We start from the raw sequence: 20,262 nt of genomic DNA on the forward strand, positions 1-20,262 counted from the left end.
TCATTCCCGTGCTTACCTGTGCCTGGCGTCCTGAGTCCAGGTTGGCTGCATGTGCCATTTTCTGCCTGGTTGGCTAGTGCCTTAGCCACTTGCTCTCTGGGGTGTACAAGTGATTGGCGGCCTAAATGTGGCCTATACAGATCTGCAAGCAGTCCTCCAATTTCAGCCCTGTCCCAGAAGAACCAGGCTCCCACCTGGCTTCCCAGGGAAACAGCTGGCTTTTGATCACCCAGCCCCACTCACTGGCTTTCAGGTCCCACATTCTCTGCCCTTCCTCCATTCCCTCTCATCCATGCCTGCTCTCCCTTTCCCACATTTTCTTTTTTTCTTTTTAGACAGTCTCACTCTGTCACCCAGCCCAGAGTGCAGTGGCACGATCTTGGCTCACTGCAACCTCCGCCTCCTGGGTTCAAGCAATTCTCCTGCCTCAGCCTCCTGGGTAGCTGGGACTACAGGCGTGTGCCACCACCTCAGGCTAATTTTTGTATTTTTAGTAGAGATGGGGGTTTCACCACACTGGCCAGGCTGGTCTCGAACTCCTGACCTCAAGTGATCCACCTGTCCTGGCCTCCCAAAGTGTTGGGATTACAGACGTGAACCACTGTGCCTGGCCTCCTGCATTTTCTTGGTATCTCTTGTCAAATGTTTTCTTTGTCCTTGTGAGTTCATAGCTTTAAAATCCTTTATTGCCATTTTGGAGGCAATTCAGGAGGAAGAGGAGATAAGTATCCATGGTTAACCACCCTGTTTGACTGGGACTCTCTCTTCTACATTCCCAAGTCATTATTAAGCAGCCCCTCCAGGCATCCTCTGCCCCAGGCTCACCATCTGCCATTCCTCAAACATGCTCCATTCTTCCCTACAAACTAAGCATCATTTATTGAAGCACTGATTAAATGTGCTTTTTTCACCTTTCTGGCGAAAAGGTAAAAGCGTATCTTGATGTTTGCAAGACTTTTGGGTTCAGATGATGATGATGATGATGATGATGATGATGATGATGGCGAAGGTAACAGCTTACATTTATATACTGTCAGTCACTGTCCTAAGTGGTTTCCATGTAATAACTCGTGTAATCCTCACAACAACCCTATGAGGTAGGCATAATTATTAGTCCAGTTTATATATGAGAAAACTGAGGCAAAGAGAAGTTACTGCCCAAAGTCACAGAGTTTGAATGCAGGACGTACATGTAGGCAGTCCGGCTCCAGAGTTCATGCTCTAAACCACTTGACTTCATCGCTTCCCGTTTGTCAGGGAGAAAGCAGACGAGGAAGGAGGGGTCCCGTGACACAGAGGTAATTACATCACAAGCAAACAGACTGAGCGTAAAAACCAACACTCTTCCCCCCAACACCCCACTGAGTCAGGAGACTGAATTCTGCCTTTAGAATCCCATCCCCAGCACGTCCGAATGCCAGATTTCTCAAAACTTAGCAATATTTAAACTATTGCTAGTGAAAGAGCACTCTTCCAGACCAGCTTATTATAAGAAAGAAGGTTATTATCAGAAAATTAGGATTCCACTTGGCACAGTGTATTAGTCCATTCTCGCATTGCTATACAGAAATACCTGAGACTGGGTTATTTATTTGTTTATTTTGAGATGCAGTTTCGTTCTCGTTGCCCAGGCTAGAGTGCAGTGGTGCGATCTCAGCTCATTCCAACCTCTGCCTCCCAGGCTCAAGTGATTCTCCTGCCTCAGCCTCCCGAGTAGCTGGGCAGGCATCCACCACCATGCCCAGCTAATTTTGTATTTTTAGTAGAGACAGAGTTTCTCCATGTTGGTCAGCCTGGTCTCGAACTCCCAACCTCAAGTGATCTGCCCACCTCGGCCTCCCAAAGTGCTGGGATTACAGGTGTGAGCCACCACGCCCAGCAAGACTGGGTAATTTATAAAGAAAAGAGGTTTAATTGGCTCACGGTTCCACAGGCTGTACAGGAAGCATGGCAGCATCTGCGTCTGGGGTGGCCTCGGGGAGCTTTTACTCATGGTGGAGGCAAAGTGGGAGCAGGCATCTCACATGGCGGGAGCAGGAGCAAGAGGAAGGTGGGGAGGTGCCACACTCTTTTAAACAACCAGTTCTCATGATAACTCACTATCAAGAGAATGGCACAAAAGGGGAAATCCACCTCCGTGATCCAATCACCTCCCACCAGACCCCGCCTCCAGCATTGGGGATGACAGTTTGACAGGAGAGTTGGGTGGGGACACAAATCTAAACCATATCACACAGAACACACATTGACTCCTGGCAGAATTAGTGACTAATAAACAATTACACTGATCAGGAACAACAACAACCATCACTCAAAAGAACAACAACAAAAGCAACACCTCATGCCAGTTCAAAGTTCCTGGGACCCTCTGACATTCTGCTTGTCCCACCTCAAATAGACAAGCAGGAGGGGCTGGAAGAAGCAAAGATGATTGAGATGATCAAGGGAATGGTTTGGCTGTGGACAACGATCAAGAACAGAGGATCAGCATGGTGTGAGTTTTCCAAAGTCCAGACTTCTAGGGCCCGAGAAGGGACAGTAAACCCAAGGCGCTCACTGGCCTGAGTGAGGATACAGGCTAGACATACTAACAGGTGTGACAACTGTTGACATAAAACAGAACCATGCTCAAGTTGCTTTGTGAGCTTAATAGGATTTGGGGCCCAAACCTGCCAGGACAACATTCAAGAGGAAAATGACAGGCTAATTTTGTTTAGAACTCGGATCTGAAACTCCACTTAGAAAACAGACTGCAGCTCCAGATCAAAAGAATTGTTCCCTCTAACCCAGGAGGGTTGACTGCAGGAGTGCTTTTCAGTTCAACACAGAGGAAAGCATAACTCCAGACAGCAACAGTCCAGCAAAACCCCAGCTTGTTTCATAGATGCCAAGAAGATGCTCAGTAAATTGTAACTTGCAGCACAGGCCTGATTAAAAATGCCCTCCCCACACACCAACAAAAAAAGAATGACGACTTCTTCAAAGTGCCAAAAACCAGTGACCCAATGGACCTTCAGTGGAGAAATGCTAGAAATATGCCCCCAAAATTAGCAGTAAAAAAGGACAAGGGGATACGTAAGTAATTAATATAAACCATTTTTTAACACCACTGCTTATAAATGGCATGACTGCAAAATCCAAGGAAATCAGTAACAAAAATACATCAATTAGTACAGCAAGGGCCAGGCGTGGTGGCTCACGCCTGTAATCCCAGCACTGGGTGACTGAGGTGGGTGGATCATTTGAGGTCAGGAGTTCCAGACCAGCCTGGCTAACATGGTGAAAACCCACCTCTACTAAAAATACAAAAATTAGCTGGGCATGGTGGCAGGCGCCTGTAATCCCAGCTATTTGGGAGGCTGAGACAGGAGAATTGCTTGAATGTGGAGGCAGAGGTTGCAGTGAGCCGAGATCTCACCACTGCACTCCAGCAAAAAAAAAAAAAAAAAAAAAAAAAAAAAAAATACAGCAAAATTGCAATACTTTAATGCAGAGAAAAAAAATGAAAGCAGAAACCCATTCACAGCACCAATAAAGAACAATAAATATTTAAGAATTCACATGGTGGAAGCCACATGAAATCTAGCTAAAGGAAATTCTAGAATGCTAGGTACAGATCAGTGCAAGCAGAAGTCACTATCTGCTCCTGTCTAAAGAGACAAACCCTGTCTCTACTAAAATCACAAAAATTAGCCGGGTGTGGTGGCATGCGCCTGTAATCCCAGCTACTCAAGAGGCTGAGATGGGAGACTCACTTGAACCCGGGAGGCGGAGGTTGCAGTGAGCCGAGATTGCACCACTGCACTCCAGCCTGGGAAACAGAGCGAGACTCCATCTCAAAAAAAAGAAAAGAAAAGCTATAAAGACAGAAGACTTTCAAGACATACATACAGATTTAATATGGCCAAGAATTCAGTAACAATAGACTAAAGACTATAAATAAATCTAGTAATAACTTTTAAATATGGGAGTGGAACAGACAGTAAAAGTTAAAAGGCATCTTATACTTCCAACATTGGCCACACCAACAAGCATTAAGTTTGTACAATACCCTGAAGAGGCTGCCTCCGTGAAGTTCAGGTGGGGTGATCTGAACCCCACAAAGACCCAAAGTCAACAACAGCAAGAGATCTCGGGTTGAAGAGGCTCCTGCTTCCACCAGGGGGAAACCACAGCCGACCTGATGGGGCAGAGCACAGCCAGATTTTCTGGATGTCTAGACCTGCTGTGGGCAGAACCATCCAGGGGAGCCCAGTCGCTCCAGGTCAGAGCCCTCATTGGCTTCAGTTGGGTCAGAGAAGCAGGACTTTTCCAGGGCCTCACGGAGCTGACCCATAACTGGAATTTTTGGTCAAAGACAGTCCTGGTGGCTTGAGCCTTCCGGGTCCTGCCATTTCTTTCTTCCCCAACTGCAGTCTGTCTGGGGAATCCCTGTCTGGGGGAGACCAGGCAAAGATTCCCGGCTGACAGGAAAATGAGCAGCTTTGAAAGCACACGGATCCCTGCATCATTACCTGTTTTCCTCAGCGCTGAGAGACGGCGTCATCTCCTTCCACCAGACCCTCTTCCCTCGAGACTGTCTCTGGCTTCCTGCTCCCCAGCTGTCCTGATGCCTCTCCACGTGACCACACCCCCTCCCACACTGGACCGCCAGGGACCTGGGCACCATGCCTCGGCCACGCCAGCCTGGGGAGCCCCCACTTTGCGCTCAGCCCATCTGGCCTTGCGCCCCACCTCCTCGCCCTGCAGCCTCAAGCCTCTTTCTGCTTGAGCCCAGCCATGAAGGTCAAATGAGACAAGAGAGGCGGCAAGATGATTTTTCATAAGAGCATTGATGAGAGAGAATTCACACAGCATAGAATTCACTCTTTTCAAGTGTACAATTCAGTGGTTTTCAGCATAGTTGTGCAACTACCACCATTATCTAACTCCAGAACATTTTCATCACTGGGAAAGAAACCCACACCCGTGAAGCAGTCACTCCCCATTCCCCACTCCTCCCTGCCCTTGGCAACCCCTAACCTAATTTCCATCTCTTTTTGCCTATTCTGGACACTTCACAGAAGTGAAATTACACGGCGGTGGGGGGGGGCGTTCAGTGCTGAGCTCCTTTCCCTCGGTGCGGTGTCCTCAAAATTCATCCACACTGTCGCATACTTTGTACTTCATTTCTTTCTATTGCTAAGTTTCCTTTGTACAGATACACCACATTTTGTTTATCCATTCGCCAGCCCATTGACACTTGGGTTGTTTCCGCCTTCTTTGCTGCTGTGAGTAATGCTGCTAGAAGCATTCCTGTGCGAGTTTCTGCGTGGAAATATGTCTTTATTTTCCCTGGGTAGGGCAAGGTGGTTTTCAAAGGTAAAAGTGCTCTACATTTAAAATAGAAACCAGTGTCCTGAGCAGCTCATCCCTGGAGGTCACTCAATCTCTTCATGCTTACGCCTCCTTCACTGGCAAACCTGGATGATGAGACCAACTCTGGACACCTCCAGGGACTACTGTGGGATGGTGATGTGGTTTGGCTGTGTCCCGACCCAAATCTCATCTTAAATTTTAGTTCCATAATCCCCACGTGTTGTAAGAGGGACCCAGTGGGAGGTAACTGAATCATGGGGACAGTTACCTCCATGCTGTTCTCATGATAGTGAGTTCTCACGAGATCGGACGATTTTATCAGGGGCTTTTCTCCCCACTTTGCTCTGCAATTTTCCTTGCTGCCGCCATGTGAAGAAGGGCATGTTTGACTTCACCTGCTGTCATGATTGTAAGTTTCCTAAGGACTTCCCAGTCCTGCAGAACTGTTAGTCAATTAAACCTCTTTCCTTTATAAATCACCCAGTCTCGGGTATGTCTTTATTAGCAGTGTGAGAACAGACTAATACAGATGGAACAACAGGTGTGAAAGTGTTCCTGGAATTTTAAATGCACTTTGCAAACAGAAGGTAATATTTTATCCATGAGACTACTTAACAGTTTTTGAAAGTATATGATTGGTTTCAGACTTGAGCATATGACTTAGAGATATGACAGATTTTGAAGTCAGGAGGCTTGTGGATGAAGACTGAATATGACAGTTAAAAAGACCAGACTGTTATTTCTACAGCTTGGCAGTTTTCCTATAACGGAGTGGGTAGGGGAGGGAAACACTTGAATATTCACTTGAATATATGCACTTCCGTGGGAACTCAAAATATTGCACAATGGGAATTCTTTTCAAGTTATTTTGCACAAGATAAAACCTTCTGAATCTTCCAATCTTAACTAGTTTGCTGTCTTCTTCCCCAAATACTCCCCCTGCCTTCTTGCTCTACGGAAGGCCTGTCTCTGCTCAGAAGCCCTCTCAGTAGAGGCTCCTGTTACCCCCAGAGCCCTCTGTCTCTGGCTGTGGGGCTGGGTCAAGGGGACCCCTTCTCTTCACTGCACCTCCAGACATTTGCCTTCCCTCCTCCCAACACTCCCAGGCTTTGAATCCCATTTCATCTGATGCTGTCACCACTGCCCCTCAGTCACCATCATCTTCCATCTACCATGATCGTTCCAGGCCACCTCCAGAGCACCCACCCACTGAATAGCATCTTGATGCTGCCTTCCTACCTGTTCCATTGTTAAGTGCTGAGTTCCTCTACCTAAGGCCAGCACCCCCTGGATCCCATGTCCTCTCACTACCAACGATGTCACCCACTTCTCCCTCCTCCTCCTATATCATTCTGGGCCATTCCCTTCCACACACAAACATTCTATTGTTTTCTGTCTTGGAGCCATGTCCTCTGCCTCTAGCTGCCAACATATTTCCTTTCCTCTGCAGCAAAACTCCTTTAAAGAGTTAGCTATGCTCACCATCTATAGTTTCTCTCCCCCTACATTCACTTGAGTAAGTCTTTCTATCTCATCATACCACTGAATCAGCTCCTGTCAAGGTCACTGGTGAACTCCACACTGCCAAATCAACAGTCAGTTCTCAGTTCTACCCCAACTTGTCTCAGGAGCACTTGATGGAGGAGAAAGAAGTTACTTCTCCTGGAAACACTATTATTTCTTCCACTCGCTTCTTCCTCATGGATCATGTCTTTGATTCCTTTGCCAGGTCTCCTCTTCCCCCAGCCTTACTGTGGATGATCCCAGGATCAGTCCTTACACCTCTTTATTAATATTCATTCTATGTCTCACAAAGACCATCACAGGCTGACAGTGAGCAAGTTTATATTTCAGACATGGGTCTCGCTCCTGAACCCAAGATCTGAATATTTTAATTGCCTATTTCATCTCCACGTGATGTCCAATGGGCACTTCCAACTCAATACGTCTTAAACAGAACTCTTGATCTTCCCCATTTCCAAACCCTGGCAAGCCTTTAACCTCTCTGCTCTTATTTCCTTGCCTAGAATACAGGGCACGTAATAGCAACAGTGCAGGCTGGAGCTACAGTGCCCGGCTTGGCACTGTTCACTTGCTGTGTGAACTACTTCACCTCTTCATCCCCAAGTTCCCTCATCTGTAAAATGGAAATAACAATATTAACAGCCCCTACGTTACAGGGTTGCTGTGAAGCGGTTAGAACAGTGTCTACAGGGTCAGCGCTGTAATACCTGTTGGAAATTATTCTTACGAAGACCAAATGAGGTAACTTTGTGCAAGTGCTGTGTAAACGACACAGTGCTAGGCACACACTTCTTTCAGTACCAATGCCACTCGAGTCTGTGAAAAGCAAATGTCAATAATGCTTTCCCAAGATCTTTCTAGACTTAAATTTCAGGACCTAGGTGTTTCCACAAAGCACCGTATTTGTTACCGTGAAAGATTAACAAAAAAAGCAGACAAAATGGCATAGTGCTTCTCAGCAATAGCCCCTAAGGGCTTGGCAGGTATACGGAAGACTGGGAGCTCATCCCCATGGGGTGGTGGGACGCGTAGGGGAGGGGGAGATCTAAGTGTATGATTTTCCTTGCTCACAAGAAGCAGATACTCTATCCCGAGGCATATTTGAATTTCCTAAAAGGAAAAAAAGTGGGGGAGAGGAGGGAAGTTGAGAGGGGAGGAGAAAAGAAAAGAAAAAAGAAAATAAGAGAAGCAGAAAGCAAGCCACCTTCTGGCTTGGGGAAGCCCACTCCATGGCTGTGGCTGGGAGCCCATCACTTACGCGTTCGACATTGCTGGCTACTTTCCCTCTTTTCCTCGCCCTCCGGGAAGCTCTTCCGTTGCTCTCTGAAGGACGGTGGCAGCAGGGGTCAGGGCACTACCAGGAGCTACAGAGGATTTGGGTGGGGGGTCTTCTGGAGGGAGAAACCAGGACTGCGAGAATCTTCTGCTTCGGGCAGGAAAAGGTGAGGCCGGGTTTGCTTCGCAGGCACGGAGCGCGCAGGCGCAGAGAGGTGTTTCACTCCTTCCCGTCGCGACCCAGAGACTCGCGAACCTCACTTCGGCCACTCAGGTGGGCGCGACGCGGCCCTAGCAACGGAAACGCCGCGCCTGCGCATTGCCTTCCGCCTGCCCCCTCCCCCCCCCCGCCCCCCGCATTCCGCGCCTGCGCCACCGCGGGAGGCCTGGGTGGGCGCAGCTGTGGGAGCCGGTCGGAGTCCGAGCGCTCCGTCGCGGGGCCCGGCCGCTTGGCGAGCCTGCTCCGGGCCCCAGCACTTAGCCTGTGGTCCTCCAGGCCGTCTTCCCGCTTTCCTGCTGGCCCCATTTTCATCCACTGTCAGCTCTGCGGCCTTGGGCAAGGCCCTTAATGATGGTGGTCTTCAGTTTTCCCATCTGTAAACTGGGTATAACAGTCGTTCGTTCAGAACTTTACTGGGCATCTATTCTGGGCCAAGTGCAGACTTAGATTCTGGGCACCCAAGACTTAGGCAGACGCGCCCTTCGGAGACTTAATGAGTATGAACTAAGGCGCGGGTGCGTTGTAAATGTAAAATGCAGTGTGGATGCTATTAACAGTTATCCGTAAGTCGCTATGAGTGTTGGCTTTCATTGCTCTTCTTTCTTCGACTTTAGTAACTGTTGAGGTTTATTTGCACATTTTAGACCCTGCAGCTCCTATTGGAACGCCAGGTTTAATGCTGTCAAAGGCGTGGAGAGGACATCCAGGTAAAAATTATAATCAGGATCACAAAACCTCTCCCCCACCATTACTAATGAAATGCGCAAAAGCATAGTAAAAGCCAGCCCTCCGCACCGCCTTCAAATAATGGAGCAAATTATTTCTCAGACGAGAAATTGAGTACAACCTTGTACCGTAAACTTCAAAAACTCAGTGAAATAGCAGCTTGCCGTGGAGAATGGTGTCCAGCCTCATCTCCACCCTCCCAAAGCCCTTCAGGGGGCAGAGACCAAGTAGACACAACACCAAGAATTCTCATTAATGCTTTTTGATGCAAAGAATACACACACTGAAAAGAAGGGGTATGAAAGGGTGAGCCGAACGAGGAAACACCTGGGGAAATCCGGCCAGATAAAACCATCCTGAGTGGAGGTCAATCCCTACCGCTCCCAGGACCTGAGCAGGGACAGGAGAAATCTCCAGGGCTTGCCTTTTTCTAGGTCCCTACATTGAATTGAGGCAAAGATTCAAAGTCAAAGGGCATGTTGTCACAGGAATAGGGCACACTCGTGACAAGAGTGGGAGGATGGTGGTAAAGGAGCTTATCAAAATCTCAGAAGAGAGCACAGAGCCTGGAAGTTGTGTGGATTCAAGGGAGCAGTCCTTATCCTAAATGTGTACTCAGGTTCCAGAAAAGCAGAGAAAAGTGCAGTATCTCAGCTCTGGAACTCAGATACAGTGAGAAGACAGTCAAAGAGAATTCGCCCACATTATATTTGAACAAACAGAACATTTTCAAAGAGCAACACGTGTTAAATAGGAATAAGACAGAAAGAAGCAGCATATCCACTGTCTAAAACCAAGACTTTCATAAAAGTAGAAGAAAAGAAAGGATTATAACATAGGCCAGACAAGTGAAAGAAAGTCTGGAGAAAATCTAACCAAATAAATAAAAGCAGAAAAATCTTTTTTGTTTGTTTGTTTTGAGATGGAGTCTCCCCCTGTCACCCAGGCTGGAGTGCAGTGTGTGATCTCGGCTCACGGCAACCTCCACCTCCCGGGTTCAAGCAATTCTCCTGCCTCAGCCTCCCACGTAGCTGGGATTACAGGCGCCTACCACCATGCTCAGCTAATTTTTTGTATTTTTAGTAGAGACAGGGTTTCACCATGTTAGTCAGGCTGGTCTGGAACTCCTGACCTCAGGAGATCTGCCCGCCTCGGCCTCCCAAAATTCTGGGATTACTGGCGTGAGCCATCGCGCCCTGCCAAAACAGAAAAATCTTTACTTGTGCTCCATGCTATAGAATAAGCTAATAAGAACATTAAGGTAATAAAATAAGAACTGGGAGAAAATATAAAACAATGGAATGAGAAAGGAAGGAAGATTACACAGCTAAGGAAACCAAAAGAAAAACAGAAGTAGTGCAATACAGAAAATAAGTTGGAAAAACCAAGAAATAGACCAGGCACAATTCAGCTGAATTACTGACTTAGAGGAAAAACCTGACTCAATTACAGTAAATGTAGAGAGGAAAGAGTGAGACACCTGAGCAATTTACAAAAAGGGTTAGTTGATATTCCTGCAAGAAAGACCTTCAACATTAGACTATTTTCAGAGATACAAGAAATGTTTTTGAAATAAAAGAATTAAATCTGCAGATCAGAAATTCTCACTGTGTTCCAGGGAAAACTGATATACAACACTCAACATCAGGAAATGTCCTGGATACATTATTGAACTTCAAAGAGAAATGGTAGGAGAAATCTGGCTAGCCTCAGATTTTGATGTCAGATGAAAATGAAGCAATATTTACAAAGTTCTTGGGGAAAAGTGTGACCCAAGACTATTTCTACTCATTCACGTTAATAGTCCCAATATGAAAGCCTTCAGGAGATACAGCACTCATGTGCAGATTGACGTGTTAACAAATGCAAATAATAGAAACCCAGTGAACATTGGCTTAAACAATAGGAAGATTTAAAATCTCCCTTAACACCAAGAATAGAGGTGGTGGCTCATGATCTCAGTGGCTCAGTGACATCATCAAGGATCAGTCTTCAATGGTCTTTCCATCTTTTGGAGCTGTCATAGTAACCATACGAAATGACTTCCTTTGTGGTCATAAAATGCCTGTCACAGCTCTAGGTCTTATATCCTCACACTGTGACATCCCAAGATAGAAAAAGAACCAGCAGGGAAATATGATACACATTACTGTTTTAGAGTAATGGGGATTTACCTGCATTAAGAGGTAGAGAGGTAGATGAAGGAACCCAATCAGAACTCTGTCAGCACAGAAGAAGGCAGGATTGGCTGTAATGTAGGCACCATTCAGTATGAGCCACCCATGAACTCTTCTAGCAAATAAATTACTTGATGATGAAATACAGACAATCAAAAGATACAAATCAGGTGAAAAAGATTAGCATAATACTCAATATGAGAAGACGGTGGAACAAGGTTTCTCAATTCTGCAAGAGAACAAATATAGTTCCTCTGTGATTATATCTTAGGAGCTTTGCCAGTTGCTGCACTTAATGACCTCTTGTTCTCTGTCAGGAAGTATTTGGGACCTGACATAGATCATTTATTAAATCTTATTAACTTTGTGAGGTAGGTAATATTTTCTTCCCCCCACCAACTTTTTTTTTTTTGAGATGGAGTTTCGCTCTTGTTGCCCAGGCTGGAGTGCAGCGATGTGATCTCGGCTCACTGCAACCTCCACCTCCTGGGTTCAAGCTATTCTCCTGCCTCAGCCTCCTGAGTAGCTGGGATTACAGGTACCCACCACCATACACGGCTACTTTTTTGTATTTTTAGTAGAGACGGGGGTTTCACCATTTGGCCAGGCTGGTCTTGAACTCCTGACCTCAGTGAAACCCAGAGAAGTTAAGCAACGGTATGTCCAAAGCCATACTCAAAATGATCATGTAGTTGGTATTCAAGTCACCTGGTAGTCTGGATTCAAAGATAACACACCTATTATCTTTTTGTTGGTAGCAACACCTACCTTACTATTTGTTTAAAAAAATAGGTTTTCTGCGAGACAAATGTTACTAAAAGCTGGTTCTCATAACAACCCATCCTTTAGGAAAAATCACTGCTACCTAGGTACATGGATACAGTAGAAAAGGTTACTTTATCCTCAACATTTAATAATTCATACAGCCTCAGAACCAGACTGCCAGGTCCCTGGGGAAATTAGTCTTCTCAGTCTTCTTGCTACATGTGACATTTGGGCAAATATTTATTGATACTTGTTCTGTGAAAAACACAATACTCAACACCATGCAATAGAAAAAAAGTTGGCTCCGATAGGAAGAATTCTGCCTGCAGGAGTGGAGGAGAGGAGGGGATCATTCAGCAGAACACAGGCTTCTCATCACACGTGCATTTTCACGTGGGGTAATAGGCCTGGAAGGGCTGTTCCAGGTTGGTCGTCAGATCTGCTTCCTTCAGATTCGTCCAGCCCCCAGGACCCTGCCACCTCCTAAGCATCCCTTCTCTGCCAACACACTTGCAGTGAGAGGGGCGCCTGACCCCTCTGGGAAGCCCATTCTGGTTTCGGAAAACTCTCACTATTGCTCTTTGGTTTTACATTGAAGCTCCAGGGAAAAACAGAACAATCCAATCCCTCTTTTTTTTTTTTTTGTTTGAGACGGAGTCTCGCTCTTGTTGCCAAGATCTTGTGCGATCTTGACTCATGGCAACCTCCGCCTCCTGGGGTTCAAGCGATTCTCCTACCTCAGCCTCCCGAGTAGCTAGGATTGCAGGCATGTGCCACCACATCAGGCTATTTTTTTTTTTTTGGTATATTTAGTAGAGATGGGGTTTCTCCATGTTTGTCAGGCTGGTCTCAAACTCCCGACCTCAGGTGATCCACCTGCCTTGGCCTCCTGAAGTGCTGGGATTACGGGCGTGAGCCACTGTGCCCGGCTTCCAATCCCTCTTTTATGGGAGCAGTCTTTGAAAAATTTAAGCCCATGTCCACCTGTCCACCTGCACCCCCCGCCCCTAATCAAAGTCCTCTTGGTTACAGAGTAAGAACCCTCAGCTTCTTCTACATTACAAGATTTTAAGTTGTCCTTCCCTCTGTGATGCTGTTAACACAACTTAGCATCCTTCAGACATAAACCAATGAAACAAAAGCTTCTAGTGGGAGGTGGTAGGCATTTCATCAAGTAGCAAAAGGGGCCCTTCCTTGAGTCTCCACACCTTAGATCCATTGTAGGGCGGTCACGCCACACCGATGACTCATGATGCCCATAGTCAGCTAACCCCCCAAAACTGCCTACAGTGTCTCCTGCTGAATGTCTCCTCTGTTATTCAGTGCATACATCATCCCATCCAGTTCCACGTCATCCCTCAAATGATCCATGCTATTGATAAACATGTTCTCAATGACAAAGCCAGGGCGCCCCACAGCATGGCACCAGAAATGAGTTCAAGTTAGCACCAATCCACAAGTTATAAACCTGCCAGCTGTGCTATCATCTGGCTTGTATTCCTCCTTGCCCTCAACAAATCCATGAGATAAGGATTTTCAAGCGCACAGTAATATGCAGCTATATCCTAGCTATAGCATTGCCTTATGTATTATGTTAGTAACTACAGAAATTTACAATTAGGCTGATCTGGCATGTCTTGTTTTTGGAAAATCCAAGATGATAATACTTGTTATCTCTGCTTCCTTTTCTAAAAACTCACAAATCATTTTAATGGTCTGGAATATTTCCTGTGATCACATGAAGTTCACTGGGCCAGAACCTGACCTATTTTATTTTAATGAGTCATCAGTCACTCAGAACCGCACAATTCTCTCCTGTAGTTTTTTTCATTATGCCATGACAATTCAGCCAAACCAGGGAACTTGTTTCTTTACCAGGCCTGAACCGGGGTTAAAGGGTCCCAAAGCAGCTCATCTGTCTACACCTCGGTCTAAGACAACTCAAGCTGCAACAGGAAGCAGGGCCTTTTCCTGCCACACGGTGGCAGGCCAGCCACTAACCAGTCAAAGTGGGGAGGATGCAATGCTTCCTGCTGCCACCTTCTCACCCAAGGACCCAGGCTCCTTCCTCACCTCCTTCGCTAACACCCCCTCCCATTTCCCCCAGTAACGGTAAGACTAAAGCATGACAAGACAGGAATACACTGTACCAAAAGATGAGGCTGTAAATACCAAGCACAGTGGACTGAGACCTTGCCCAGGAAGGCTCCTGGCAGCTTGCGGGAGAGCACTGGCCATGGAACTGACCATTAACATCCACCAAGGAGAAGCTACTTCCTTGAAGGGCCAGAGCAGGTCCTGGGCTTCCAGGGAGGACCAGAGCTCTGCTCCATCCACCCTGGTCTCTCTATCCTACTCAGTTCCATTCCAGGGTCCCATCCTGCCAGGCCTGAGTGATATTAATAAGCTTATTTTCTCTTCTTACATGAAAACTCTGAGCTTACTTGTTTAGTAACCATTCTGTGTACCTTGCTAGGCATCTGAGGTCCAAATCATTATTTTGATTCACTTTTCAAATAATTTCCTCTAAATTGGTCACTATTTCTTCCACAATTACTATGTTTTTGTCCTAAACAGTTGATGCCTTATTTTATGTCAAATGTACATGTCTTTATACAGCCTCATAATCAGACTGCCAGGTATCTGGGAAAATGTTTTTTTCTCCGTGTTCTCAATATGTATGAATTCAGTTGGGCAAATATTATGGACACCCATACTATGCCAATCACAATACTCAATGTGGTGCAATAGAAAAAGAAACCTTTGATAGGAATTCAGCCTTCAGGGAGTGGAGTAGAAGAGATAAAGGTAGGGGGTGATTAAATGTCACAGCACAAAGTCTTTTGGGAGTTTAGAAGAGAGAGGGGCTACTTTGCCCTTGGGAAAGTGGAAGGTGTTATGCTGGTGGGATTAGAGCTAGCTACGTAAAAGGTGAGTGGGGCTTTGACCTGAGGAAATGGGAGACCATGCCAGGTGAAGGAAACAACACGGCAAAGGTAGAGCAGCAGGAAAAGTACAGGGATATGTTCGTTCGAGAGCCAGTATTTGCCTTTGACCTGGGAATCGACTCAGGCCAGATGTTATATGGACTTGATAGCAGGCCGAGAACTTTGGACTGAATTGTACGGCGACCCTCAAACTATGGAGGTTTATGTGAGCAAGATAATTGCTCACAGGGTCATGAGGCAGGGGACAATTCAAAGACAAGAAGTAGAGATGAGTGGATAAACAAAATGTGGTGTATATGTAAATAGAACAACATACAGCTGTAGAGAAGAATGAAGTTCTGACACATGCTATAGCATGGATGAACCCTGAAAATATTACGCTGAGTGAAATAAGCCAGACACAAAGGAACACACTTTGTATGATTCCACATCATATGAAATGTCTAGAACAGGCAAATTTGTAAAGACAGAAAGTGGATTAGAGGTTAACGGGCTGGTGGAAGGAGGGAGTGGGGAGTTATTTCTTAATGTGTACAGAGTTTTTGGGGTGATGAAAAATTTTGAAATATAGTGGTGATGGTTGTACAACAACATTGCGGATGTAATTAATGTCACTGAATTACACACTTACAAAGCTAAAATGGCACATTGTATATTTGAGAGAGAGAAGCATGACAAGACAGAAATACACTCTACCAAAAGACCAGGCTGTAAAAACTAAGCACAACAGACTGAGGACCTCGCCTAAGGCTCCTGGCAGCTTGGGGGGAGGCACTGGCTATGAACTGATCATTGACATTGACCAAGGAGAAGCTAACTGATACCTAGACATTTTTGAATGAGAAACGAAGAATAGAGGAGAAGGTATAAAATGTTGAGAAAGTACAATTCATGGGATTGCGGTGTGGCTCAGAGAGGGAGAATTCTGAGCTGAGCTGAGGCTTCAGTGGCAGGTGGCTCGAAGGAGCAGAGCTGGAGGTTGGGCTGGGGAAGGAATGGAGGCTGAAGAATGGAGGAGCTAGAGCGAGTAAGTACAGAGACACCTACTGAAGCTTGGTGAAGGAGACAGGAAGGTAGCTCAAAAGTGATAAGCATATGGGAAGATGTTTCAAATTAGGGAGTCAGAAACTTATTTTTAGGATAAATGGAAAGAAAGAATTTGAAGATGTATTCCTCTGCCAAGTGCACGTCAATTTTTAAACCCTGGTCTAGAAGCACTCTTCTGGGATATAATTTGCACTGGCATCTCACCACCCTTATTTCTTTCCAAGAAATCCCAATACTCTGTGTTCTCACACCATACATAGACCCTTCCCTGAGAGTTTTGGTGGTGTGATTCAGCCTTTAAGGAACCAGCTGGAGTAAGTGGCAGAGTGCTGTTTTGGTAAGTCTTGAAAAGGTTTCTGTAACACCCCAGAGAAAGGCCAGGAAGGCATCATGCCTCTCTTATTGGCCAGGGCACAGTGGGGGTCACCCAGTGTCACACTGTGTCCCTTCCTTCCTAATTATAGGTTTCCTAAAACTCTCGCAATGTGTGGATCATGCCTATGAGTCTGTAGAGCCCAGGATGCTGCTTATTTTCGTTTAATATTTTACTTAGTTTATTGATGCTCAAAACTAGGTAACAATGTAGTCAGGCATGTTATAAGCTGGTTGTTCATTAGAAAATAAAAACTGGGCATTTGATTACTGTAAAATTGTAGTCAGTTGGAGCAACTGTTCCTGATTGTTCCATTTTCTCTTTCTCTTTCCTTCTTTCTTTCTTTCTTTTTCTTTCTTTCTTTCTTTCTCTCTTTCTCTCTTTCTTTCTCTCTCTTTCTCTCTCCTTCCTTCCTTCCCTCTCTCTCTCCTTCTTTCTTTCTTTCTTTCTTTCTTTCTTTCTTTCTTTCTTTCTTTCTCTTTCTCTCTTTCTCTCTCTTTCTCTCCTTCCTTCCTTCCTTCCTTCTCTCTTTCTTTCTTTCTTTCTTTCTTTCTTTCTTTCTTTCTTTCTTTCTTTCTTTCTTTCTTTCTTTCTTTCTTTCTTTCTTTCTTTCTTTCTTTCTTCAGTTTCCCTTTTGTCTCCCAGGCTGGAGTGCAATGGCACCATCTCGGCTCACTGCAACCTCTGCCTCCTGGGTTCAAGTGATTCTCCTGCCTCAGCCTCCTGAGTAGCTGGGATTACAGGCGCCCACCACCACGCATGGCTAATTTTTGTATTTTTAGTAGAGACAGGGTTTCACCATGTTGGCCAGGCTGGTCTCAAACTACTGACCTCAGGTGATCCATCATCTTGGCCTCTCAAAGTGCTGGGATTATAGGCATGAGCCACCGCGCCCGGCTGATTCTTCCATTTTCTAACAGTGTGACTTGGATAAAGTCCAGTAACATTTCTGAACCCAAGTCTATCTCTCTACAAAGGGAAGAATACCCACTGTGTCACTCAAAGCATTGTGATGGAACTCCTTGAATGGTTTTTAAGTTGCCTTTTGCTAGAAAACTGGTGTGACCTTGTGTACTTAGTATCCAGGTGATCATTTGACTCACATGTTTTATATTCCAGAGATTTCGTTCACGAAGTGTTTTTCTGAAAACTCAGTGTTTGTAGCGTTGTTGGAAATTTTCCTCACGTCCTCACTGAATTTGTATTGAAGGAATCGAGTCTTTGAAAGATGGGTTTACCTCCCTGTTTAATAAGTCATAAGTCTGTCGTTTGAGTTGTCCCTGAGTGTGAGTCCTGGAGTTTGAGAACAGTGACTGCTGTGATCCTACCGTGATTTGATGGGCACTTCTAGGCACAGTGAAAGGGAAGTGGAAGTTTCTGGTTGACTTTGATTCAGTTCCAACACGTTCCTCAGGTAGGCCTGCAGAACTGCAGAGAGTGAAGTCAGCGGAGATGAAAGTGAAAAGGTGTAAAGTTCACATTGAATTTGAAGGCCTTCTCCTCTAAACTTAGATGTAAGAAACATTTTCTATGCTTCTAAGTATAAAATGTCATTCTACATAAGAGGTGTATTTTAAAATGTCAGATATTAAACTGTCTGCGGTAACATTCCACTTTTCATGTCTAATGTTATGTCTGTATGAAAAGAAATGGATGAAATGCTAAGCTTGTTCAATTCGAATACATACCTGGAACTAAATCAAATGTGTTTCACTAATTCATAATCATTAAAAGTAAGCATTGGTAGACCCTTGGCCTAATACTTCGAGATCTAACATTCACAGTTTTGTCTTATTCTGAGCCACCCCTAAGGTCGATGGCATGTTATAATTTAATGCGGACAGTTCTACTTCCCTCAGAGGATTGCTGTAAGGATTAAATAAACAATGTATGTAAAGCACTTGGCACGAATTTAAACCAGCATGCTCTTGTGTGGCTGGCAGTCCTGTAAGCTACTGGGGAAGTCTAGAGGGCTGCTGAAAATCGGCATCTCAGTTAGCCGTATTCCTCAGTTTAGGCTTCACAGAAATCCCAGGTGTCAAAGACCCGTTCCATACAGGGTGTTCCGTTGAGGGCTCATAACATGCACATTGCATTCAGAACAATGATAACTACAAACTCCTGCAACAGCTGACACCAACATTCCCAAACAGCAAACAGTTTTGGTTGTGAATCTTGGCTTCTCTCCAGTCTGTTCCCGTAACATATCAACGCATAGTTTGCACTGGAAATGAATCTGAGTTGATAGATTTTGTTGAGAATATGCTAGTAAACTAATTTAAAGGGATATGAGCAATGTGTATGTAACCTTCTGAATAGAGTTCCAAAGAGAATAGATCTCACAAACACCAAAGCCATTTTACGTCAAATAAACATCACTTCCACTGGGAAATGAGTGTAAATTTGTGTGTGTGTTTCTTATGAGCTGCTGCTATTATCTATTAATAAAACTGCCCAGTGTGAGAAAAAAGAAAAAGGAACTAGCTGGAGGCAGGATGTTGGTTTTTTTTTTATTATTATCCTGTTTTTTTCACAAACACTGAGGCAGCTTTTGTAATCCAGATGCAGAGAAGGTCACTTTTCAATTGTTTTAACACCTGCTGTCTATTAAAATGAACACAATTTCCACAAGCCATTGATAAATTCAGTCTGAAACCTACCTCAAGTGACGGTTTCCTTTATTTTGATAAAACTTTTGAATAAATAATGTGTCTGTCCAATTTCTGGTGTGTGTGTTTGCTATTTGACTCTCATATCCCTCCTCTTACTATTTTATTTTCACAGTGCTTATAACAAAACAATAGTTTTTGGTACTGACAGTAGAAAGCTAATTACAAATAACAGCTGTGTTGTTCATAAAACAAAAGTGAAGCTAGGGCACAATGGTGCACACCTGTAACACCAGATACTTGGGAGGCTGAGGCAAGAAGATCGCTTGAGCCCAGGAGTTTGAGGCTGCAGTGAGCTATAATGGTGCCACTACCTGAGCGACAGAGCGAGACCCCATCTCTTAAAAATGTGACACACTTAGTCATTAATGAGACATACTTAAAGTCTTGAATTGGCAATGGCTCTGACTACATCAGCAATATGTAATTTAAGAGCAGAGAAAATGTCTACTTAATCTATTAATTAATCATAGAATACCACCAGACTTAATAGAAATATAATCTTGGTTTAAAAAATATCAGGCAGGAGGCTGGTAAGAATTCTTGTAGGCTTGTTTCTTCCTCCCTCTGTCTGCCAAATGTCTGTCTCCTTGTCCTCTGCTCATTCTTTTTTTTTTTTTTTTGAGATGGAGTCTCACTCTGTCACCCAGGCTGGAGTGCAGTGGCACGATCTCAGCTCACTGCAACCTCCGCCTCCCGGGTTCAAGCTATTATTATGCCTCAGCCTTCTGAGTAGCTGGGATTACAGTCACCCACCACCATGCCCTGCTAATTTTTGTATTTTTAGTAGAGATGGGGTTTCGCCACGCTGGCTAGTCAGGTCTCGAACTCCTGACCTCAAGTGATCCACCCACCTTGGCCTCCCAAAGTGCTGAGATTATAGGCGTGAGCCACCATGCCCTGCCCTGCTCACTCTTCCTACTGAGAAGTGCAGCACTTCTTGGATGAGGCATTGCTCTGTCCCAGGGCTGGAGGAGCAGCAGCCCTCACTGCAGGCAGAACGCTGCTAACCCTCGCCTGTCAGCTTCCCCCAAGGCGTCACACTGGTCTAGACCCCGTGCAGTCTGTTGCTGCTGTGGAGGTTTACATATTAAAGCCATCCTGGGCATGTGTCTGCCTAGTGTATTCTCAGGGAGTTGTTTACTTACACTTTCCATGCTACGAAAATGGTTTCAGATTT

At 45.1% G+C, this 20,262-nt stretch overlaps 1 protein-coding gene across 10 annotated transcripts in view, besides 2 other annotated features; it reads right to left on the bottom strand.

Moving 5' to 3' along the window:
• Nucleotides 1-8,360, bottom strand: part of DRC11 (dynein regulatory complex subunit 11) — a 200,792-nt gene extending 192,432 nt beyond the window's left edge. For 5 of the 10 annotated variants that reach the window (XR_007081589.1, XM_017004960.2, XM_011511866.2 and 2 more), the window contains exon 1: nt 4,515-4,578. Coding sequence is in view for 8 of the 10 variants with exons in the window: in XM_017004960.2 (XP_016860449.1) it covers nt 4,515-4,546 (32 nt within the window). In the remaining 2 variants the exon portion in view is untranslated. Of the gene's footprint in view, nt 1-4,514; nt 4,579-8,140 lie in introns of those variants that run through there. The other 5 variants (NR_073043.2, NM_001270584.2, XM_047445852.1 and 2 more) reach the window with 1 other exon arrangement.
• Nucleotides 8,486-8,535: a silencer, noted in NCBI's record as "silent region_12475". NCBI's record gives its function as "represses an Ori minimal core promoter by ATAC-STARR-seq in GM12878 lymphoblastoid cells {active_cell/tissue: GM12878}" and the evidence as "EXISTENCE:reporter gene assay evidence [ECO:0000049][PMID:35858748]".
• Nucleotides 14,168-14,237: an enhancer, noted in NCBI's record as "active region_17355". NCBI's record gives its function as "activates an Ori minimal core promoter by ATAC-STARR-seq in GM12878 lymphoblastoid cells {active_cell/tissue: GM12878}" and the evidence as "EXISTENCE:reporter gene assay evidence [ECO:0000049][PMID:35858748]".

Source organism: Homo sapiens, chromosome 2 (genome assembly GCF_000001405.40).
Source record: "Homo sapiens chromosome 2, GRCh38.p14 Primary Assembly".
In the NCBI taxonomy this organism is placed as follows: domain Eukaryota; kingdom Metazoa; phylum Chordata; class Mammalia; order Primates; family Hominidae; genus Homo; species Homo sapiens.